The sequence below is a fragment of the Homo sapiens genome, chromosome 15 (genome assembly GCF_000001405.40).
Source record: "Homo sapiens chromosome 15, GRCh38.p14 Primary Assembly".
NCBI classification, from domain to species: domain Eukaryota; kingdom Metazoa; phylum Chordata; class Mammalia; order Primates; family Hominidae; genus Homo; species Homo sapiens.
In genome coordinates, this window is record NC_000015.10 from 22,780,560 (window position 1) to 22,802,839 (window position 22,280).

At 49.2% G+C, this 22,280-nt stretch overlaps 1 protein-coding gene across 2 annotated transcripts in view, besides 7 other annotated features; it reads left to right on the forward strand.

Moving 5' to 3' along the window:
- Positions 5,666–22,280, forward strand: part of NIPA1 (NIPA magnesium transporter 1) — a 43,565-nt gene continuing 26,950 nt past the window's right edge. Inside the window, exon 1 of one of the 2 annotated variants that reach the window (NM_001142275.1) lies at positions 5,666–5,689. Coding sequence is in view for 1 of the 2 variants with exons in the window: in NM_144599.5 (NP_653200.2) it covers positions 6,098–6,275 (178 nt within the window). In the remaining variant the exon portion in view is untranslated. Of the gene's footprint in view, positions 5,690–6,084; positions 6,276–22,280 lie in introns of those variants that run through there. The other variant, NM_144599.5, reaches the window with a different exon arrangement.
- Positions 5,757–5,990: a silencer, noted in NCBI's record as "fragment chr15:23086519-23086752 (GRCh37/hg19 assembly coordinates)". NCBI's record gives its function as "represses an EF-1alpha promoter that drives an FKBP-Casp9 reporter gene in an ReSE screen in K562 erythroleukemia cells {active_cell/tissue: K562}" and the evidence as "EXISTENCE:reporter gene assay evidence [ECO:0000049][PMID:32094911]".
- Positions 5,953–6,312: a silencer, noted in NCBI's record as "silent region_6259". NCBI's record gives its function as "represses an Ori minimal core promoter by ATAC-STARR-seq in GM12878 lymphoblastoid cells {active_cell/tissue: GM12878}" and the evidence as "EXISTENCE:reporter gene assay evidence [ECO:0000049][PMID:35858748]".
- Positions 6,383–6,532: a silencer, noted in NCBI's record as "silent region_6260". NCBI's record gives its function as "represses an Ori minimal core promoter by ATAC-STARR-seq in GM12878 lymphoblastoid cells {active_cell/tissue: GM12878}" and the evidence as "EXISTENCE:reporter gene assay evidence [ECO:0000049][PMID:35858748]".
- Positions 6,543–6,672: a silencer, noted in NCBI's record as "silent region_6261". NCBI's record gives its function as "represses an Ori minimal core promoter by ATAC-STARR-seq in GM12878 lymphoblastoid cells {active_cell/tissue: GM12878}" and the evidence as "EXISTENCE:reporter gene assay evidence [ECO:0000049][PMID:35858748]".
- Positions 7,023–7,132: an enhancer, noted in NCBI's record as "active region_9154". NCBI's record gives its function as "activates an Ori minimal core promoter by ATAC-STARR-seq in GM12878 lymphoblastoid cells {active_cell/tissue: GM12878}" and the evidence as "EXISTENCE:reporter gene assay evidence [ECO:0000049][PMID:35858748]".
- Positions 11,866–12,366: an enhancer, noted in NCBI's record as "H3K4me1 hESC enhancer chr15:23080143-23080643 (GRCh37/hg19 assembly coordinates)". NCBI's record gives its function as "activates a minimal SCP1, AML or CMV promoter by ChIP-STARR-seq in primed H9 embryonic stem cells {active_cell/tissue: H9 hESC(primed)}" and the evidence as "EXISTENCE:reporter gene assay evidence [ECO:0000049][PMID:30033119]".
- Positions 16,226–16,505: an enhancer, noted in NCBI's record as "active region_9155". NCBI's record gives its function as "activates an Ori minimal core promoter by ATAC-STARR-seq in GM12878 lymphoblastoid cells {active_cell/tissue: GM12878}" and the evidence as "EXISTENCE:reporter gene assay evidence [ECO:0000049][PMID:35858748]".

The following is a 22,280-nucleotide window of genomic DNA, read 5'->3' on the forward strand; positions in this document are numbered from 1 at the left end:
ATAATAGTCATAAGGGGTGTGAGGTGGCATCTCAATGGGTTTGATTTGCATTTCCCTAATGATTTACAATGCAAAACGCCTTTCAGATACCCACTTGCTATTTTCATGTTTTGTTTAAAGAAATGTCTATTCAAGTTTTTTAAAAACATTTTAAAAATTAGGTTATTTGTTTTGAGTTGTATTAATTCTTTATACATTTTGGATTTTTTTTTTTTTTTTTTTTTGGAGACAGGGTCTTGCTCTGTTACACAGACTGGAGTACAGTGGCACAATCACAGCTTACTTGACCTTCTGGGTTCAAACACTCCTCCATCTCAGCCTCCCAAGTAGTTGTGACTACAGGCGCACACCACCATGCCTGGCTAAGTTCTAAATTTTTTGTTAAGACAAGGTCTCACTATGTTGCCAGACCTGGACTCAAACTCCTGGGCTCAAGTGATCCTCCTACCTCAGCTTCTGAAAGTGCTGGGATTAAGGAGTGAGCCACTGCACCGGGCTAAATGTTGGATATTTACCCCTAATTGGCTGGGTATAGTGGCTCACACTTGTAATCTCAGCACTTTGGAGGCCGAGGTGCTTGGATCACTTGTGGTCAGGGGTTCGAGACCAGCCTGGCCAATATGGTGAAACCCCATAATGGAGTTTCGGCTTGTTTAACTGGGAAATGAGGATCATGACCATCCCTGTCAAGCAGGAGAGGAGATGGGCTGATGTGTATTGTGAGGCCCAACATGGTGAAACCCCATTTCTACTAAAAATACAAAAATTAGCCAGGCATGGTGGTGGGCACCTGATATCCCAGCTACTCGGGAGGCTGAGGCAGGAGAATTGCTTGAACCCAGGAGGTGGAGGTTGCAGTGAGCCAAGATTGCACCATTGCACTCCTGTGTGGGCAACAGAGTAAGACTTCGTCTCATTAAAAAAAAAAAAAAAAGAATATTCACTTCAATAAATGGTGAGACCAGCTTTGCAAAGATGACAGTGAGAGAAGTTTAGCATGGCTGACTCCATCTTGCTTCCAGTCTCACGGGCCTGCTGTCTTTGCTCATTCCTGGGCATAGGCCAAATCAGCCATGGGAGAAATGTAGTTCATAGTCTAACGTTGCCATTTCCAGTCCTCGGGGGTCACCTCTTTCCACTCCACGCTTAGTTATCAATTTGTTACTCTGCTTTAAAATGTACCTTTTTTTTTTTGTAATCTCAGCTACTCAGGAGACTGAGGCAGGAGAATCGGTTGAACCTGGGATGCGGAGGTTGCAGTGAGCTGAGATCGCACCATTGCACTCCAGCCTGGGCAACAGAATGAAACTGTCTCATAAAACAAATATAACATGAAATGGTAACGTCTTTCTTTAAAACCAAAGAAAATATGCAAGGCGGATGTCTTCCTGTCACTTCGCACAGTCTACTCCCATAGCGCCTGAGCCCCAGACCCCAAACTCACTGTCCTGCTCGGGGACCCCCAGACCACAGTGAACATTACGGGTACCCCAAGTACTCTCCTATCCTCACCTCGCTCCTGCAGTAAATGGCTAAATGAATAACTCAGAAGTGAAGCCAAAAAGAAAAAGAAAATGCACATGGGGAACAGGAGAGGAGAGCAGAGGCCACAGTGTGGAGGCCTGGGCTGATACACTGCAAAGAGATCTTTGGGGCTCCGAAGAGATCTTTGAGGCTCCAGGTCTCATGAGTGGGGGCCAGGCTCCCTAGAGAAACCCTTCTTGTCTAGGGCTGGGGAGCCCACCAGAGTGACCCAATCAGTTCTCAGGGCCTGTGATGGGGCCACATGGTTTTGAGAAGCCGGTGTTCAGCTCCATCCTAAAGAGCACTCATGCACGTTGGGGAGGAGGGCCGGGGTGCACAGCTCTGACCTGAGTCAGACCCACCTCAGGACTGAGCCCAGCAGAAGGAGGCCCAGAGTCACTGACCATAAAAGGAGCAGATGCCCTCCCCCGTGTTGGTTGAGATGAGTCTTGGGCATTAACTCTAATAATTTCTAACTGCACCCAGAAATACTGATTCACACAGCAACTAGTAAATAATAGCCTTTTAGAGCTAAAAAAAAAAAAGCCTTGTATGGTTTATTATGAATTAACATATGCATTTTACACAAACTAGAGGCACCGTGGTGGGCCAGCAGCAGCCTGTTAGGGGCCACAGCAAGGAGACTGGATTTCCTCAAGTGCAATGGGAGTTACTGGCTAGGCTTTAAGGTTTTAGCCACAGGAAAGATGAATGTATTTCAGAGCAACGTGGGTGGATTCAAAATGAGGTTTAGAACTAGATCCATTAAATTTTTTTTTTTTTTTAGACGGAGTCTGACTCTTATTGCCCAGGCTGGAGTGCAGTGGTGCTATCTCGGCTCACTGCAACCTCTGCCACCCAGGTTCAAGGGATTCTCCTACCTCAGCCTCCCGAGTAGCTGGGATTACAGGCACCTGCCATTGTGTCTGGCTAATTTTTGTATTTTTAGTAGAGACGGGGTTTCACCATCTTGGCCAGGCTGGTCTTCAACTCCTGACCTCATGATCCACCCACCTTGGCCTCCCAAACTGCTGAATTTTTTATCTGAAAAATCTCCCACCGGGCGCGGTGGCTCACGCCTGTAATCCCAGCACTTTGGGAGGCCAAGGCGGGCACATCATGAGGTCAGGAGATCGAGACCATCCTGGCAAACGCAGTGAAACCCCATCTCTACTAAAAACATAAAAAATTAGCCAGGCATGGTGGCGGGTGCTTGTAGTCCCAGCTACTTGGGAGGCTGAGGCAGGAGAATGGCGTGAATCCGGGAGGTGGAGCTTGCAGTGAGCCAAGATCGCGCCACTGCACTCCAGCCTGGGCAACAGAGCGAGACTCCATCTCAAAAAAAAAAAAAAAGAAAAGAAAAGAAAAGAAAAAAAAGAAAAATCTCCCCTCTCCAAAAATCTCCCGGCATTTCTACAGAAGTCTCTACCTAGGTAAGGAGAAGAAACAATTCTTGGCCGGGTACAGTGGCTCACGCCTGTAATCCCAGCACTTTGGGAGGCCGAAGCTGGTGGATCACGAAGTCAGTAGTTCAAGACCAGCCTGGCCGAGATGGTGAAACCCTGTCTCTACTAAAAATACAAAAAAATTCGCCAGGCGTGGTGGCAGGCGTCTGTAATCCCAGCTACTTGGGAGGCTGAAGCAGAGAATTGGTTGAACCCATGAAGCGTAGGTTGCAGTGAGCCAAGATCACGCCACTGCACTCCAGCCTGGGTGACAGAGCAAGACTCCATCTCAAAACATAAGACGAAAAAAAAATTTTTTAGGGAGCTGAAAAGTGAACTGATTTCCTCATTTCTCCTTGCAAGGAATCAATTGATAGCCCAAAATTGAAACCCAGAGTTAAAATAAACGTAACTCCCACCCTCTTAGTGTTTCTCACTTTTTTTTTTTTTTTTTTGAGACAGGGTCTCACTTCTGTTGCCCAGGCTGGAGTGCAGTGGCGTGATCATGGCTCACTGTAGCCTCAACTTCTGGGGTCAAGTGATCCTCCCATAGCCTCCTGAGTAGCTGGGACTACAAGCACATGTCACCATGCCTGGCTAATTTTTGTATTTTTTTGCAGAGATGGGGTTTCATCATGTTGCCCAGGCTGATCTCAAACTCCTGGGCTCAAGTGATCTGCTGGCCTTGGCCTCCCAAAGTACTGGGATTATAGGCATGAGCCACTGTACCTGGCCTACTAACTTTAATTTTAGGTGTATCTTTTAGGAAGTAATATCTCATGGCAAAATAATGTTTGTCATTCAGTAGTTACTGTAGTTTCATTTCAGTTTTTCTTTTGTTAAATTCAAGCAAAATATAGTTTTATGTTTTTAATTAAAATCCCATATGTGTTTCCCCATCAGATAAAATATGCCTGTCATTTAACCTATGTACTCACATGGAAAAATGTCTGGGGTGGAGTTCTTTTTTTTTTCTTTTTTTTTTTGAGACGGAGTCTCACTCCGTCGCCCAGGCTGGAGTGCAGTGGTGCCATCTCGGCTCACTGCAAGCTCCGCCTCCCGGGTTCACGCCATTCTCCTGCCTCAGCCTCCTGAGTAGCTGGGACTACAGGCGCCCTCCACCATGCCCGGCTAATTTTTTGTATTTTTAGTAGAGACCGGGTTTCATCGTGTTAGCTAGGATGGTCTCGATCTCTTGACCTCCTGATCCATCCACCTGACCTCCGGATCCGTCCGCCTCCGCCTCCCAAAGTGCTGGGATTACAGTCATGAGCCACCTCCCCGGCCCTATTTTATATTTCTTCACAAAATAATAATGCTGTATGCAAAGCTGCCAAAAGGTTTATACTTTTCGTTTGTTTTTGAGACAATCTTGCTCTGTTGCCCAGGCTGGAGTGCAGTGGTGCAATAACAGCTCACTGCAACCTCCACCTCAAGCCATCCTCCCACCTCTGCCTCCAGAGTATCTGGGGTTGGAGGTAAAAGCCACCACGCCCCGCTAATTAATTTTTTTCTTTTTTTGGTAGAGACGGGTCTCGCTACGTTGCCCAGGCTGGTCTTGAACGTCTGAGCTCAAGCGAGCCTCCCACCTCGGTCCCCAAAGTGCTGGGATTATAGGTGTGAGCCACTGTGCCCAGCTTGTAGCATCGTTTATAGACAACAAAACCTGGCAGCAACCGGCCAGGCGCGGTGGTTCACGCCTGTAATCCCAGCACTTTGGGAGGTAGAGCGGACGGATCACCTGAGGTCAGGAGTTCAAGACCAGCCTTGCCAAGATGGTGAAACCGCGTCTCTACTCAAAATACAAAAATTAACCCGGGCGTGGTGGCGGACGCCTGTAATTCTAGATACTCGGAGGCTGAGGCCGAGAATCGCTTGAATCCGGGAGGCGGAAGGTTGCAGTGAGCCGAGATCGCGCCATTGCACTCCAGCCTGGGCGACAGAGCGAGACTCTGTCTCAAAAAAACAAACCAACCTGGTAGCTACCTAACACCCAACAATGGCTGAATGGTTAGACAAATTATTATACTGTCATTAGAATAATCATATTTATGTACCGATACAGAAACTGATATATATTAAATAAAAAGGAAATTTCGTATATTGTAATTGGAAACATGTAAAAGTATGTATACATTATGGGAAAACACCTAAAATACTAATAATTAGGTGAGGGTTGTGGAATTGAGTCACTTTAAAAAATATTTTTTTCCAAAAAAAATAAAATAACTTTTTCCTATTTTTCAAGCTTGTAATTTTGTTGTTGTTTCTTTTTTTTTTTTTTTTTGAGACGGAGTCTCGCTCTGTCGCCCAGGCTCGAGTGCAGTTGTGTGATCTCCGCTCACTGCAAGCTCTGCCTCCCGGGTTCACACCCTTCTCCTGGCTCAGCCTCCCGAGTAGCTGGGACTACAGGCCTCCGCCACGACGCCCAGCTAATTTTTTGTATTTTTAGTAGAGACGGGGTTTCACTGTGTTAGCCAGGATGGTCTCGATCTCCTGACCTTGTGATCCACCCGCCTCGGCCTCCCGAAGTGCTGGGATTACAGGCGTGAGCCACCGCGCCCGGCTTGTTGTAGTTTATTAAAACGAGGAAACTAGACTATGGGATCACAAGCCCAGAGCCCCATGTAGCTGACTCTAGCGCCAAGGGCGGAAGAGAAACGCCCAGCGCCAGGGCTCTCCTTCGATCTCTGCAGCGGCGCGCCGGGCTTCGCGCTCCGGTGAGTTGGGCCGGCCTCCGCTGGAGGCTCTTCGGGGACCGCTGCCCGCCGGTGCGTCCTGCCGCGCTCCGCTGCCCGGATATTGCAGAGGACACCACTCAGAAAGTATGCGTGTTTCTCCGCGCTGGAAACTTAACCAGGAGTCCTGCATTTCCATTTGCGAAATCCGGGAACCCCCGCCCCACCCAGCGCCTCACCGGCCCCTCACTGCCGCCGCGTCCGGCGCCACTGCTGTCCCCGCAGCCTAAGGCGCCGGTCCCTGGCACCCCCGTCCCGCCCCCGCCCCTCTTCCTGCTCCTCCCCCACCCGTCCCCCTCCCCTCCCCCGCCCGCGCCTCCCGGTCACCCCCCATCCCGCCCCGCGGGGCGCGGCGCGCAGGCGCAGGCTCGGAGGGCGGGCGCGGGCGGAATGGGGACTGCAGCTGCGGCAGCGGCGGCGGCGGCGGCGGCGGCGGCCGGGGAGGGGGCGCGTAGCCCGAGCCCCGCCGCCGTGTCGCTCGGCCTGGGCGTGGCCGTCGTGTCGAGCCTGGTGAACGGGTCCACGTTCGTGCTACAGAAGAAGGGCATCGTGCGTGCCAAGCGGCGAGGTAGGGCGGGCGGCAGGCGGCAGGCGGCGGGCGGGTGGGGGAGGCGGGCGGCGGAGAAGGCGGTCGCAGGTGGGGGCGCCCGGGTCGGGGCAGGGGACGGGGTCGGGGCCCGGGCCCAGGTTGGGGGAAGGCTGCGCGGGCGGGTGCTCCCCGCGGCGTGCCCAGGCTGCCGCCGCGTCCTGGCGCTCGGGCCCGGGAGCGGCCCAGGAATCACAGGTGCGTCCTGAGCGTCCGGCGCTTCGCCGACGCCACGGCTTTTCTCCGTTCTCAGCGGCTGGAGCGGCTTGCTTTGGTGTGCGGGCTTCCCCGGCTGACTTTTTCCCTCGGTCCAAGACCTGCCCCGCGCCGCCCGGCAGCCCTCGCCGTGGCCCGCAACCCGCGGCCGGGAGCCTCCTGCGGACGCGGTGCTGGGGTGCTCGAGCCCAGCGCCCGCCTGGAAGCGCCGCTTCAGCCGATGCGCGGCCCGCTCCTAGGGTACGCTCGGTAGAGCAAGACCTGGGATTTCCAGTCCCCCGCAGGGGCCTCGCTGGTGCAAAAGGAAGACCCGGGCGGGCTCTCAGGGCTGTGCGTTCCTGGGGTGCTCTTACGGAGCCCGCTGCGCCTTAGACCTGCACCAAATGAATACAAGTGATCTTCAGTTTGGAGAACACGCGCGGCAGATCCAAAACCAAGCCCTGGACGGGCCAAGGCCACTTCCCAGGTGGATGTGCCGCAGCACCGCACTCCGTAGTGCTCTGCGGGGTAGAGCTCTCTGTCAGTGTCGTTTGTGCTGGGAGGCCCCGGACGGGACCGGTTTGCCAATGCAGGATATGGCAGGCTGTGAAACAGTCCGTTTCCATTGCTTCCAGAGGGACTGAGAAAGTCTTGTGGTTCTTGGCCATACTCTTAGAAGAAGAATATTAAGAGCTCTCTGGGAAGGATGTGGCCCCCGACTCTTGGGTTGTGAGAGAAAGTGAACTCGTAATTTACATGGCGGAATGCAGGTGAAACTTTCTCTGAGTGAGCCAGGCGTTGGCTTCAGAGAAGAGATAAAGGGCCCGACAGTCTCGAATGAAAATATAAAATCATGGATAATTTAAGGAATTTAGCTTTAAAGTGAAAGCATAGTGGTCTCCCATACAATTTAAATAGAATTAAATAAAACCAAGTATGATTTTCCAAGGATGCAGATGTGTCTGTCTCTAAGGCACACAGATACACACACACCGCAGCCACACTTCAGGGAGCATCTGTCCGTGTGACAGGCCCCAGGACTGGGTGAGATGGTCAACGCGCGTGACCTTATAAATAGGATGGCCTGAGAAAGCACCTCACCTCCCCAATCCACGGCCCTAGCGTAAGCATGAGGAAAACACCACACAAACCGGAGTAGAAGAACATCTTGCGGCCGGGCGCGGTGGCTGGTGCCTGTAGTCCCAGCACTTTGGGAGGCCGAGGCGGGCGGGTCACAAGGTCAGGAGATCTAGACCATCCTGGCTAACACGACGAAACCCCATCTCTACTAAAAATACAAAAAATTATCCCGGTGTGGTGGCACGCACCTGTAGTACCAGCTACTCGAGAGGCTGAGGCAGGAGAGTCTCTTGAACCCGGGAGACAGAGGTTGCAGTGAGCCGGGATCCGCCACTGCACTCAGCCTGGGCGGCAGAGCAAGACTCCATCTCAAAAAAAAAAAAAAAAATCTTGCAGTACACCTGACCAGTCCTCTGTGAAGGTCATGGAATCTGAAAGCACGTCACAACCAGGAGGAGCCTAAGAACACGTGAACACCAGATGTAAGACATTAGGGAAAAACGAAGGAAAGCTGAATACCAGCTTTAGTTAGTTTTCTAAAAAGTTGAGGAAAACTGTGTTATTTCAACCCAGGTCATGTGGCTCAAAGGAATTGGTGAATAGGAAAATAAACAAGCGAGTAGCCTTTTAAAAAAAACATGATAAGCTGGGTGCAGTGGCTCACACCTGTAATCCCAGCTACTCGGGAGGCTGAGGCAGGAGAATTGCTTGAACCCAGGAGGGGGAGGTTGCAGTGAGCCAAAATTGTGCCATTGCACTCCAGCCCGAGCGAGAAGAACAAGGCTCTGTCTTAAAAAAAAAAAAAAAAAAGATAAATGCTGTTTCTTATACCTATATACTATGCTTTCATTCATTTATTTATTTTTTATTATGATTTTTTTTTGAGACGGAGTTTCGCTCTTGTTGCCCAGGCTGGAGTGCAATGGCGCGATCTTGGCTCACTGAACCTCTGCCTCCCGGGTTCAAGCGATTCGCCTGCCACAGCCTCCCGAGCTGGGATTACAGGCGCGTGCCACCATATCTGGCTAATTTTGTGCTTTTACTGGAGATGGGGTTTCATCATGTTGGCCAGGATGGTCCCGAACTCCAGACCTCAGGTGATCTGCCCACCTCAGTCTCCCAAAATGCTGGGATTACAGGCGTGAGCCACCAACACTCGGCCTATATTATGGTTTTAAATTGATCAAAGTGAACTTGTGATTTTCATTATTTATTTTAAGCCCCAGACATTGCATGGTGTTAGGCTTTAGCTCTATGACTCTTCAGAGCCTCCCGTCCAGGAGGCCATTAGCACCTCAGTTCTTCCCGGTCTGGACCCAAGGTCCTTTCCATCCCTGTGAGCCACCCATCAAGGTGAGCTGAGAGACCAGCCGGCGGGGCAGAGTCACTTACGGCTGAGAGGAATTGTTTTGGGATTTGGTTAGTAAGTAGGAGAGAAAAGGAGAAGAAAACTTGTATGGGGGTTGAGCACCTCCCGCCGAAGAAGGCGAGGGAGGCATGGAGGTGTCTTACACTAGGGAACATTTCCGAGTCATGTGGCACCAAAGTATGTTACCAGTGGGGAATCCATGTGGGACTGCAACAACCTCAATTCTTGCTTCCTCAGAAGAAAGAATTTGGCTGAGGGGCACAAAGCAGAAGGAGACCTAGGCAAGGTTTAGAGCAGGAATGAAAGTTTTTTTTTGGAGATGGAGTCTAGCTCTGTCACCCAGGCTGGAGTGCAGTGGCGCGATCTTGGCTCATTGCAGCCCCCGCCTCCTAGGCTCAAGCAATTCTCCTGTCTTAGGCTCCTGAGTAGCTGGGATTACAGGTACACGCTACCATGTCCAGCTAATTTTTGTATTTTAGCAGAGACGGGGTTTCACCATGTTGGCCAGGCTGGTATTGAACTCCTGACCTCAGATGATCTGCCCACCTTGGCCTCCCAAAGTGGTGGGATTACAGGTCTGAGCCACCATGCCCTGTCAAAAGTTTATTTAAAAGCTTTAGAACAGGAATGAAAGGAAGTAAAGTAGACTTTGAAGAGGGCCAAGCTGGCAACTTGAGAGATCAGAGGCCTTCATTAATTTCATACTTCCCCAGTGACCACCCAGTGCCACTGATTCAGGCTAGCTGTGTTACTCATGGTGGTAGAAGATAGACATAGAGTCTTGTTTCAATGTCTGCTTTGATTTGTTCAACAGATACTGATGAAGCTTTTTTTGTTTTTGTTTTGTTTTTGAGATGGAGTCTTGCTCTGTCACCAGTCTCGATCTCCTGACCTTGTGATCCTCCCGCCTCGGCCTCCCAAAGTGCTTTTTTTTTTTTTTTTGAGACGGAGTTTTGCTTTTGTTGCCCAGGCTGGAGTGCAATGGTGCAATCTCACTGCAACTTCCACCTCCCGGGTTCAAGCGATTCTCCTGCCTCAGCCTCCCGAGTAGTTGGGTTATAGGCATGCACCACCACGCCTGGCTAATTTTGTGTTTTTAGTAGAGACAGGTTTCTCCATATTGGTCAGGCTGGTCTCGAACTTCCAAACTCAGGTGATCCACCCACCTTGACCTCCCAAAGTGCTGGGATTACAGGCGTGAGCCACCATGCTTGGCCTTGATGAAGCTCTTGTAATGCACCAGGCATTGTGTAGGTGTTGAGAATACAGCAGTTTTAAAATCTACTCGCCATAAAATCCTTTCCTACATCTGTTGCAAGCAGCAGAATTGACCAGTATGAAATGACAGAAATAGAGGATGAGGGAGGAGAGGGGAGATACGCAAGCACCAGAGAATGAAGTTCTTGCTTTAAGGGAGACCTAGCGTGACGTTCCTTATGCTGGAAAAAGTTGTGTCTTACTGAAATTTTAAGCTTTAAAAATTTTTTAAATTTTTGGATGGATTTAGGGGTACAAATGCAGTTATGTTATATGGTTATATTGCACAGTGGTGAAGTCTGGGCTTTTAATGTAACATCACCTGAATATAATATTTCATCGCTCCCACCCTTCCCTTCAGGTTAACCCAGCTAGCCTGTATCAGTGGCACTGGGTGGTCACTGGCGAAGTATGAAATTAATGAAGGCACTTGATCTCTCAAGTTGCCCGCTTGGCCCTCTTCCAAGTCTACTTTACTTCCTTTCATTCCTGTTCATTTGGAGTTTCCAATGTCTGTTATTCCACTCTGTATGTCTGAAAGTCAAAAACCGCATGTTCTCACTTACAAGTGGAAGCTAAACAATGAAAGTTTAAACTCTAAATGAATTGCCAGGTGGTAGCATTTCTAGATTTGAGATTCTAGATAGTCTCATCTTCAGGGGAGTCAAGTTCTGGTGACAGTCCTTCTACTGAGGGATTTGAGGCATGGCTTCCTCTTTCACTTTTTTTTTTTTTTTTTTTTTTTTGTGAGACGGAGTGTTGCTCTGTTGCCCAGGCTGGAGTGCAGTGGTGCCATCTCGGCTCACTGTAATCTCTGCTTCCCAGGTTCAAGCGATTCTCCTGCCTCAGCCTCCCCAGTAGCTGGCATTACAGGCGTCCGCCACCACACCTGGCTAATTTTTGTATTTTGAGTAGAGGCAGGGTTTCACCATATTGGCCAGGCTGGTCTTCATCCACCCGCCTCGACCTCCCAAAGTGCTGGGATTACAGATGTGAGCCACCGCACCTGGCCCTCTTTCACTTTTAAAGGAACTTCCCAGAGAATCAGCCAGATACACAGTACAACTCCCAGTAGTCCAGGGAGCGTCGTCTACAGCATAGGCTCGGATGGGACAGCCTGCCTTCTTTGCCATGCTTTTGGATGACATAGTCCAGGGAGCGTCCTCTACAGCATAGGCTCGGATGGGGCCGCCTGCCTTCTTTGCCATGCTTTTGGAAGACATAGTCCAGGGAGCGTGCTCTACAGCATAGGCTCAGATGGGGCTGCCTACAAACTTCTTTGCCATGCTTTTGGATGACATGCTGTGGGAAGCAGGCAGGGAGGCAGGTGGGTCATGTTCAGTGTCAGAGCCCCATTGAAGCAGGGCTTATGGAAGAGAAACATTCACAGGATGTGAATGTTTGTGGAAAGCCCATGGCAACATTAGAATAGCAGTGCCTTCACTCAGCAGGTGCAGCAGAGGCTGAGTGTGCCTGGGTGGGTGAGGATGGGCCCAAAGTCAGGCTGCGCAGGAGAGCTGCCATTGAGGGGTTCGCATGGCTGCCCTGGGACAGGCTTCCTGGGGACAGTCTCAGGAAAGCTGTGTGTTTAGAATTTGTTGGAGGCTTTTTTCTTTTTTTTTTGAGACGGAGTCTCGCTCTGTTGCCCAGGCTGGAGTGCAGTGGCATGATCTCCACTCACTGCAAGCTCCGCCTCCCAGGTTCACGCCATTTTTCTGCCTCAGCCTCCCAAATAGCTGGGACTACAGATGCCCGCCACCACACCCGGCTAATTTTTTGTATTTTTAGTAGAGACGGGGTTTCACCATGTTAGCCAGAATGGTCTCGATCTCCTGACCTCGTGATCTGCCTTCTTCGGCCTCCCAATGTGCTGGGCTCCCACTGTGCCCAGCTTGGAGGCTTTTAAGAATTGGGTGGGGGCTGGGCATGGTGGCTCACACCTGTAATCCCAGCACTTTAGGAGGCCGAGGCAGGTGGATCGCCTGAGGTCAGGTGTTTGAGACCAGCCTGGCCAGCGTGGTGAAACCCCGTCTGTACTAAAAATACAGAAATTGTCCGGGTGTGGTGGTGGGCACCTGTAATCCAAGCTACTTGGGAGGCTGAGGCAGGAGAATTGCTTGAACCTGGGAGGCGGAAGTTTCAGTGAGGCTAGATTGCGCCATTGCGCTCCAGCCTCGGCAACAAGAGCAAAAACTCCATCTAAAAAAAGAACAAAAAGAATTGGGTTGGTAGCGGGAGGCACAGGTTACAGTGGCCAAGATCACACCACTGCACTCCAGCCTGGGCAACGGAGTGAGACTCTGTCTCAAAAATCCCGGGCGTGCGGTGGCTCATGCCTATAATCACAGCACTTTGGGACACCAAGGTGGGCAGATCACCTGAGGTCAGGAGTTCAAGATCAGCCTGGCCAACATGATGAAACCCCATCTCTACAAAAATACAAAAATTAGCCGGGCGTGGTGGCACATGCCTGTAGTCCCAGCCACTTGGGAGGCTGAGGCATGAAAATTGCCTGAACCTGGGCTGCAGAGGTTGCAGTGAGCTGAGATCGCACCACTGCACTCCACTTCACGCCAGCCAGGCTACGGAGTGAGACTGTGTCTCAAAAAAAAAAAAAAAAAAAAAGAGAATACATGGTATTGTTGCTAAGTATAGTCATTCTGCCCTGCTGTCAAACATTAGAGCTTCTTTTTTTTTATTTTTTTGAGAGGGAGTCTTGCTCCATCTCCCAGGCTGGAGTGCAATGGCGTGATCTTGGCTCACTGCAACCTCCACCTGCCAGGTTCAAGGGATCCTCCTGCCTCAGCCTCCCGAGTAGCTGGGACTACAGGTGTCCGCCACCATGCCCGGCTAATTTTCCTATCTTTAGTAGAGACAGGGTTTCACCATGTTGGCCAGCCTGGTCTCGAACTCCTGACCTCAAGTGTTCTGCCTGTTTTCAGCCTTCCAACTTATGTTTAAGTCTTTAGTCTATCTTGAGTTGACTTTTGTGTATGGTGACACATAGAGGTCCGGTTTTATTTTTCTGCACATGGCTATTAAGTTTTCCTAGCTACATTTATTGAAAAGTATATCCTTTCCCCAGTGTATGTTCTTGCTGGCTTTGTTGAGGATCAATGGGAGTAAATATGTAGATTTATTTCTGGGTTCTTTATTCTGTCCCATTGGTCTGTGTGTCTTTTTATACAAATGCCAGGCTATTTTGGTTACTCTAGGCTTATAATTTGTTTTGAAGTCAGGAGGTGTGTTGCCTTCAGCATTGTTCTTTTTGCTCAGGATTGCTTTGGATATTTGGGCTCTTTTTTGGCTTCATATGAATTTTTTTTTTCTATTTCCCTGAAAAATATTGCTGTTATATTGACAGGGATTGCATTGAATCTCGTAGCATTATCTGCAACAACCTAGCAACCAGGTGTCATCAACTGAAGGATGATAGCAAAAGTCAGTTCTCACACATGCTGCAACATGGAGGACATTGTGCTGAGCGAAACAAGCCAATCACAAATGACAAAGCCGGTGATTCCGCTTATGTGAGGCACCCACTGCAGTGACATTCATAGAGACAGGAAGTAGAATGGTGGTTCCAGGGGTGGGGGGAGGGGAAATATGGGAGTTGGTGTTTATGGGTACAAAGCTTCAGTGTGTGAAGATGGAGTGTGGAGATGGATGGTGGTGATGGCTGCACAGCAATGTCAGTGTACTTCACAGGACTGAGCTGAACACTTCAAAATGGTTAAGATGATAAAGTTTATGTTATGTATATTTTACCAAAATAAAACATGCTTTTCGGATTTTGTAGACTCCTCCTTGAGAGGAGTGCTGCCTGCAGTGCAGCCATGCTGTGGAGATGTGGAGGGGAAGGGAGTTGTCTCGTGAGAGTGTAAACTGAGATCCAGGCGTCCCATTTCGAGTCCCCAAGCCTTCCACACTTGCACTGGCTCTGGGGTGGATGTATTCTTTCTCATTGCCTTTCCTGTCATACCCACGCTCCTCATACCTGGGCACGCTCCCGTCCCTAGGTGGAGACGGAACGAGGTTAGTTCTGCTGCTTCTGGGGACCCTCCGGACCCTGACATGAGGTCATTGCCCCTTGTGTGTCTCCCTGGTGCATGTCCTCAGCACCCCCGGCCCTCTCCTGTCCCCTGACCCTGAGGGATGATGGCCTATTCACTCATTTGCATTCCCCCCCATCCCAGCTCTTCCAGGGCTGTCACGTGTCCACTGGGAGGAATGGGCTGGACACGGAGCAGAGGCATCTAACTGGCCACAGGGAGCCGCAGAGTGAGGATGGCGAACCTGAGCCTTTTATTTTATGAAAGGATTTCGGAGCTGTCTTCAGGTGCCTCGGAGCTGACCTTACTTACGTCCTACTAAGCAACAGAATCTAGAGTTACTGCCAGCTCTGATCTTTATCTGACCCTGAGAGGAGATCACTGATATAGGCATGGTGAGAAGGGCGTGAGAGTCGGGAGTCTTTGAATGGCTCGCAGCCTGTGCTTGGTTTCCTTAATGCTGTTTCCATCAGAAAAGGAGATAAAGGAGGGCTGCTGCGTACCGAAGCCCCATGGTGTCCCAGACTCATGCCATGTTGTGATTCTGTGGTGGACTGGGCTCCGCTGGGCGACTCTCCAGCAGCTGCAAGCAGATGGTGGCTGGGGCTGGAGTCAACTCAGTGCCGGACAGGACTGGGCAGCCATGCAGATGGCATCTTCACTCGAGTCTGGGGTAGCTGGACAGCTGAGGGCTTGCTGAGCATTGCTGTCTCTGCTCTCCCTTCCTCTATCCCTGTGGCTTCTTCACACAGGGCTCCCTTGGACGCCCTTACAGCGTGCTGGTCTCTGGGAAGCCAGACCCCTTCCATGGTGTGTGGCTTTCCCTTGGCAAAGCCTCCTAAGGACCACGGTGGAAGCTTGGTGGATCCTTGTAGTGCTGCTTCTGCCACATCTCTTGGCTTGCTCGGGCTGCTCAAGTGCAGTGTGGGAGGGAATGTATAAGGATGTGAATGCCAGGGGCAAGATACAGAAGAGGAGGTTCAGATTTGCAGAGATCCTCACACGTGCCTGGTCACACAACTGGTGGTGCCGGAATGTGAACACAGCTGGGGCTGATTTTGGTATTGTTCTCTCACCCTGCCCCCTGTAGGGTGGTTAGGGGGAAGATAGATAAATCCACCTACAGATAAGGCATTTTTTTTTTAAGACAGGGTCTTTTTCCGTCGCCCAGGCTGGAGTACATTGGCGTGATCTTGGCTCACTGCAGCTTCGACCTCCTGGGCTCAAGTGATCCTCCTACCCCAGCCTCCCGAGTAGCACCACCTCTGCATCTAGCTAATTTTTATATATTTTTTTTTTAGAGACAAGATCTTGCTATGTTGTCCAGGCTGGTCTTGAACTCCTAGGGCTCAAGTGGTCCTCCACCTCAGCCTCCCAAAGTGCTGGGATTACATGTGTGAGCCACCATGCATGGCCCCAGATAAGGCTTTTCTAGGAGGGACTTAACTCTTTATTTAGAAAAAGGCTGTACTCTGATGCTGGGCAAACAGAAATTCATTTTCATTTTCTTATGATAGAAGCAGGAAGACATCACCAATGTAAATTTCTACATGAAACCAACAATCCTTGGTCTTACTGAATTGCTGTTGGACAGAATATATTTTGCCCTCAAAAATATTTATAGTATAAATGTAATTTATATTTATATTTTCAGTTCTTTTTTTTTCTTTTTTCTTTTTTTAGAGATAGGGTCTTGTTATGTTGATCAGGCTGGTCTCCCACTCCTGGCCTCAAGTGATCCTCCCATCTTAGCCTTCCAAATTACTAGGATTCCAGGCGTGAGCCACTACACCCAGCTATTTTCAGTTCTTTAATTAAGCCCTTAATGAATACCAATTTCTTTTTTGTTTTAACCATGAGGGACTAGAAAAGATCACTTTCAGAAAGGAAATGTTCAGTCTCACACTCCTACTCTGCAGCCAGGAGCCTGTGAATGTAAACGGTCCCTTTTAGATGCTGCCAGGGCTGGTCTGAGAGGCCATGTCCCCGACCCATGCAGGGACAGGGTTGCCTGACTCGTGCCCAGCCGGGGCTCTTTACTGTGATATAATTATTCAGCAGAGTATATCTTGAGTTTCCAGAACCTAGGCTTAGTCATATTTTTAAAAAGCATTTTTTCCTGATTGTAGAATACATAGTCATTGTTTAAAATCTGGAAAGTACAGAAAATGGTGGTTCGGAAAGTGGAACTTACTCATCTCTCCACCTGGAGGTGGCTGCTATTACAATTGAGGTTTCTTTTTTTTTTTTTTTAGATAAAGTCTCGCTCTGTCACCCAGGCTGGAGTGCAGTGGCGCGATCTCAGCTCACTGCAACTTCCGCCTCCCAGGTTCAAGCGATTCTTGTGCCTCAGCCTCCCGAGTAGCTGGGATTACATGTGAACACCACCATGCCCGGCTAATATATTTGGGTTTTTTTTTTTTGGACGGAGTCTCGCTCTGTTGCCCAGGCTGGAGTGCAGTGGTGTGATCTCTGCTCACTGCAAGCTCTGTCTCCCGGGTTCACACCATTCTCCTGCCTCAGCCTCCCAAGTAGCTGGGACTACAGGCGCCCGCCATCACACCCAGCTAATTGTTTTTTGTACATTGAGTAGAGACGGGGTTTCACCATGTTAGCCAGGATGGTCTCGATCTCCTGACCTCGTGATCCACCCGCCTCGGCCTCCCAAAGTGCTGGGATTACAGGCGTGAGTCACCGCGCCTGGCTTTTTTTTTTTTTTGAGATGGAGTTTTGCTCGTTTCCCAGGCCAGAGTGCAATGGTGCAATCTCGGCACACTGCAACTTCCACCTCCCGTTCAAGCAGTTCTCCTGCCTCAGCCTCCCAAGTAGCTGGGATTATAGGCATGCGCCACCACGCCTGGCTAATTTTGTATTTTTAGTAGAGTTGAGTTTTCACTATATTGGCTAGGCTGGTCTTGAACTCCTGACCTCACGTGATCCGCCCACCTCGGCCTCCCAAAGTATTGGGATTACAGCAGGCGTGAGCCACCGCTCCTGGCCATATATTTCTAGTCACATTCAGTAATTATATTTCAAAACCGATTTTTTTTTTTTTTTGAGACGGAGTCTTGCTCTGTCACCCAGGCTGGAGTGCCGTGGCACAATCTCGGCTCACTGCAAGCTCCGCCTCCTGGGTTCATGCCATTCTCCTTCCTCAGCCTCCCCAGCAGCTGGGACCACAGGCACCTGCCACTACGCCCGGCTAATTTCTTTTTGTATTTTTAGTAGAGACGGGGTTTCACCATGTTAGCCAGGATGGTCTTGATCTCCTTACCTTGTGATCCCCCCGCCTCAGCCTCCTAAAATGCCGGGATTACAGGCGTGAGCCACCGCGCCCGGCCTCAAAACTGATTCTTAATGAAAAAATCCTATGCACAAAACATATGTTAACACCACCTATCAGATGTTCTAAGAAACATATATGCTAAAAATCTTTTTTTTTTTTTTTTTTGGAGACAGAATCTCGCTCTGTCGCCCAGGCTGGAGTGCAGTGGCGCGATCTCAGCTCACTGCAGGCTCCGCTTCCCGGGTTCACACCATTCTCCTGCCTCAGCCTCCCGAGTAGCTGGGACTACAGGCGCCCGCCACCATGCCCAGCTAATTTTTTGTATTTTAAGTAGAGACGGGGTTTCACCGTGTTGGCCAGGATGGTCTTGATCTCCTGACCTTGTGATCTGCCTGCCTCGGCCTCCCTAAGTGCTGGGATTACAGGCATGAGCCACTGTGCCTGGCCTATCCTAAAAATCTTAAAAAAAAAAACCGGCAGGGTGCACTGGCTCATGTCTGTAATCCCAGCACCTTGGGAGGCTGAGACGGGTGGATCACGAGGTCAGGAGATCGAGACCATCCTGGCCAACACGGTGAATCCCCGTCTCTACTAAAAATACAAAAAATTAGTCGGGTGCCTGTAGTCCCAGCTACTCGGGAGTCTGAGGCAGGAGAATGGCGTGAACCCGGGAGGCGGAACTTGCAGTGAGCCGAGATCGCGCCACTGCACTCCAGCCTGGGCGACAGAGCGAGACTCCGTCTCAAAAAAAAAAAAAAAAAAAAAAAAAAACCTCTTTATTGTGGTAAATATCAAATATGTTCAAAGTAGAGGAAGTAGTTAATGAATCCCATGTACATATCACCCTTGGTTAACAATGATCATTTCTCACCCATACACTGTGGGTGGCAATGTAAATTAGTTCAACCCCTGTGGAAAACAGGATGGAGATTTTTCAAAGAACTAAAAGTAGATCTACCATTCAACCCAGCAATCCCAGTACTGGGTGTCTACTCAAAGGAAAATAAATAGTTTTATCAAAAAGACACATGCACTTGTATGTTTACTGTGGCACTACTTACAATAGCAGTGTCATGGAATTAACCTAAGTGTTCACCGACAGTTGACCAGATAAAGAAAATGTGACACATATACACATATGGAATACTATGCAGCCATAAAAAGAACAAGATCACGTCCTTCACAGCAACATGGATGGAGCTGGAGGCCATTATCCTAACTCACAGAAAATCAAATACCACATGTTCTTACTTATATGTGGGAGCTAAACACATAGACATAAAGATGAATATAATAGTTTGTAATCCCAGTAATCTGCCGAGGTGGGCAGATCACTTCAGCCCAGGAGTTCAAGACCAGCCTGGGCAACATGGCGAAACCTCATCTCTAAAAAAAATACAAAAATTGGCCGGCCAGCGCAGTGGCTCACACCTGTAATCCCAGCACTTTGGGAGGCCAAGGTGGGCAGATCACGAGGTCAGGAGATCGAGACCATCCTGGCTAACACGGTGAAACCCCATCTCTACTAAAAATACAAAAAATTAGCCAGGTGTGGCGGCAGGCGCCTGTAGTCCCAGCTACTCGGGAGGCTGAGTCAGGAGAATGGCGTGAACCCAGGAGGCGGAGGTTGCAGTGAGCCGAGATCGCACCATTGCACTCCAGCCTGGGCGACAGAGCAAGACTCTGTCTCAAAAAAAAAAAAAAATTAGGCGAGTGTTGTGGTGCACCTGTAGTCTCAGCTACTGGGGAGGCTGAGATAGGAGGATGGCTTGAACCCAGGAGGTTGAGGCTTCAGGGAGCCAAGATCGCACCACTGCACTCCAGCCTGGGAGACAGAATGAGACCCTGTCTCAAAAAAAAAAAAAAAAAAAAAAAAAAAAGGGAAAGAAAAGATGATGTAATAGACACTGGGGACTGCTAGAGGGGAAGGGTAGAAGACTGGGGTGAGGGTTGAAAAATTACCTGTTGGGTACTATGTGCACTATTTGGGTGATGAGTTCACTAGAAGCCCAAACCCCAGCATTGCACAATATACGCAAAGAACAAACCTGCCCATGGTCCCCTGAATTACTCAACCACAACAACAACAAATCATCCTTCCTCAGCAATTTCGCTTTATCTATACCCCAGTGCCAACCCCACCCACACCCCTGTAGGATTTTTTTGAAATAGATCCCAAGCAAATTACCATTTCATCTGCATATTGCCACGAGTCTTTCTTTGTTAAACATAATACCTTTATTGCACCAGAAAATTAAGAATAATTTTTTAATGTTCTCACATGTCTGGTTAGTGTTTAAATTTCTGTGATTATCTTGCAAGTTTTGCCCAGTTCATCTTTTAGAATCAGGATGCAGTTAAGACCTACACGTTGGGTGGTACAGCTCTTTATCATGTAATTTAAAAAATGAGGCAGTGGGCTGGGCGTGGTGGCTGACGTCTATAATCCCAACACTTTTGGGAGGCTGAGGTGAGCGGATCACCTGAGGTCAGGAGCTCGAGACCAGCCTGACCAACATGGTGAAGCCCCGTCTCTACTAAAAATACAAAATTGGCACCGGGCATCGTGGCTCACGCCTGTAATCCCAGCACTTTGGGAGGCCGAGGTGGGCATATCACAAGGTCAGGAGATTGAGACCATCCTGGCTAACACGGTAAAACCCCATCTCTACTAAAAATACAAAAAAAATTTAGCCGGACGTGGTGGCAGGCACCTGTAGTCCCAGCTACTTGGGAGGCTGAGGCAGGAGAATGGCGTGAACCCGGGAGGTGGAGCTTGCAGTGAGCTGAGATCACGCCACTGCACTCCAGCCTGGGCGACAGTGCGAGACTCCGTCTCAAAAAAAAAAAAAGAAAAAAAAAAAATTAGCCTGGTGTGATGTCGCATGCCTGTAGTCCCAGCTACTCGGGAGGCTGAGGTTGCAGGGAGCCGAGATCATGCCACTGCACTCCAGCTTGGGTGACAAGAGTAAAACTCCAGCTCAAGAAAAAAAAAAAAAGAGGCAGTATACACTGAGCCCACCCCATGTATGTCAGTTTATGTCCTGTGGTTGTGTTCAGTCTGTCGTGAGCTTGTCCCCCTGTTAGATGTTCTTTGCAAACATATTCAGGGCTGCATGAATGTTACCGTTCTACTTTTACAGGGCATGGACATTTCCAGTTCCTTACCAGTGCACATGACAGAGCTCATTATCCTAGATTTTTCTGTTCACATCAGCAGAGCACGCTAGTACAGGTATAATACTTGACATCTACCCGTCATGTATCAAGGAGTCGGCCAGCTTGGCTTCTCAGGCCTCAGGGTGCGTGGGGGCAGTGTTGATCACTGTGGTGGGGGAAAGGATGAGAGAGATTGCCTTTAGTTAAGGCAGAGAGGAAGAGGGTGCTCTGTAGGGGCAGACAACACTTCTAGCGACTTTTTTTTTTTTTTTTTTTTTTTTGAGAGACAGAGTCTTGCTCTGTCACCCAGGCTGGAGTGCAGTGGCATGATCTCGGCTCACTGCAACTTCCACCTCCCGGGGTTCAAGCAGTTCTCCTGCCTCAGCCTCCCGAGTAGCTAGGACTACAGGCACCCGCCACCGCGCCCAGCTAATTTTTGTATTTTTAGTAGAGACGGGGTTTCACCATATTGGCCAGGCTGGTCTCGAACTCCTGACCTTGTGATCCATATGCCTTGGCCTCCCAAAGTGTTAGGATTACAGGCGTGAGCCACTGCGCCTGGCTGTGACTTTTTATGTGTTTGTATTCACTGAGGACTGTGTACACTGATGATTCTCAGTAAATATTTGATAGATGGAATAAAGAAATAGAATAGAGATACTGCACTGAGCTTCCCTGGAGGGAGGATGGAGAGGAAGAAGCATGTGTTAATATGTGCTGTACTCTTAATTTCCATCTGAAACAGGGAATGACATTTCCCATAGAAACTGCAAGAAACTTTATTACAGTGGTTAGTTGTATTAGGGTCAGCATTGTGTGGGCTAACCCAGAAACTTAACTTTTTAAATTAAAAAAATTAAGGGTCGGGCACGGTGGCTCACGCCCGTAATCCCAGCACTTTGGGAGGCCGAGGCAGGCAGATCACGAGGTCAGGAGTTCGAGACCAGCCTGACCAACATGGTGAAACCCTGTCTCTACTAAAAATACAAAAATTAGCCAGGCGTGGTGGCACATGCCTGTAATCACAGCTACTTGAGAGACTAAGGCAGGAAAAGCACTTGAACCCGGGAAGTGGAGGTTGTGGTGAGCCGAGATCACGCCACTGCCCTTCAACCTGGGCGACAGAGTGAGACTCTGTCTCAAAAAAAAAAAAAAAAAATTTAAACCACTTTATTGGGGTATGATTAATATATAAAAAGCTGTGCATGTTTAATGTACACACCTCCATGAGTGCACGAATAAGTGTGCTACCTGTGAAATCCTCACCACCAAGAAATTTAACTGTCATTTATCAACTATTTCTTGTTTAAGTATTGGGGTATAATTGCATAGAATAAGCTGCACAGATCTTAAAGGTACAGTTTGATGAGTTTTGACAAATGAATATGCCTGTGTAACCAACAGCCCAGTGAAGAAATTGATTGTTGCTGCCACCCTAGAAAGTTCCCTGGTGCCTCATCCCCCATACCAAGGTGCCTACTCTTCTGATGCCCATCTGCATAGGTTGAATTAATTTTGCCTGTTCCCATGCTTCATATAAATGGAATTATATAGTATGTATTCTCTTACGTCTGCTTTTGCTGGACATA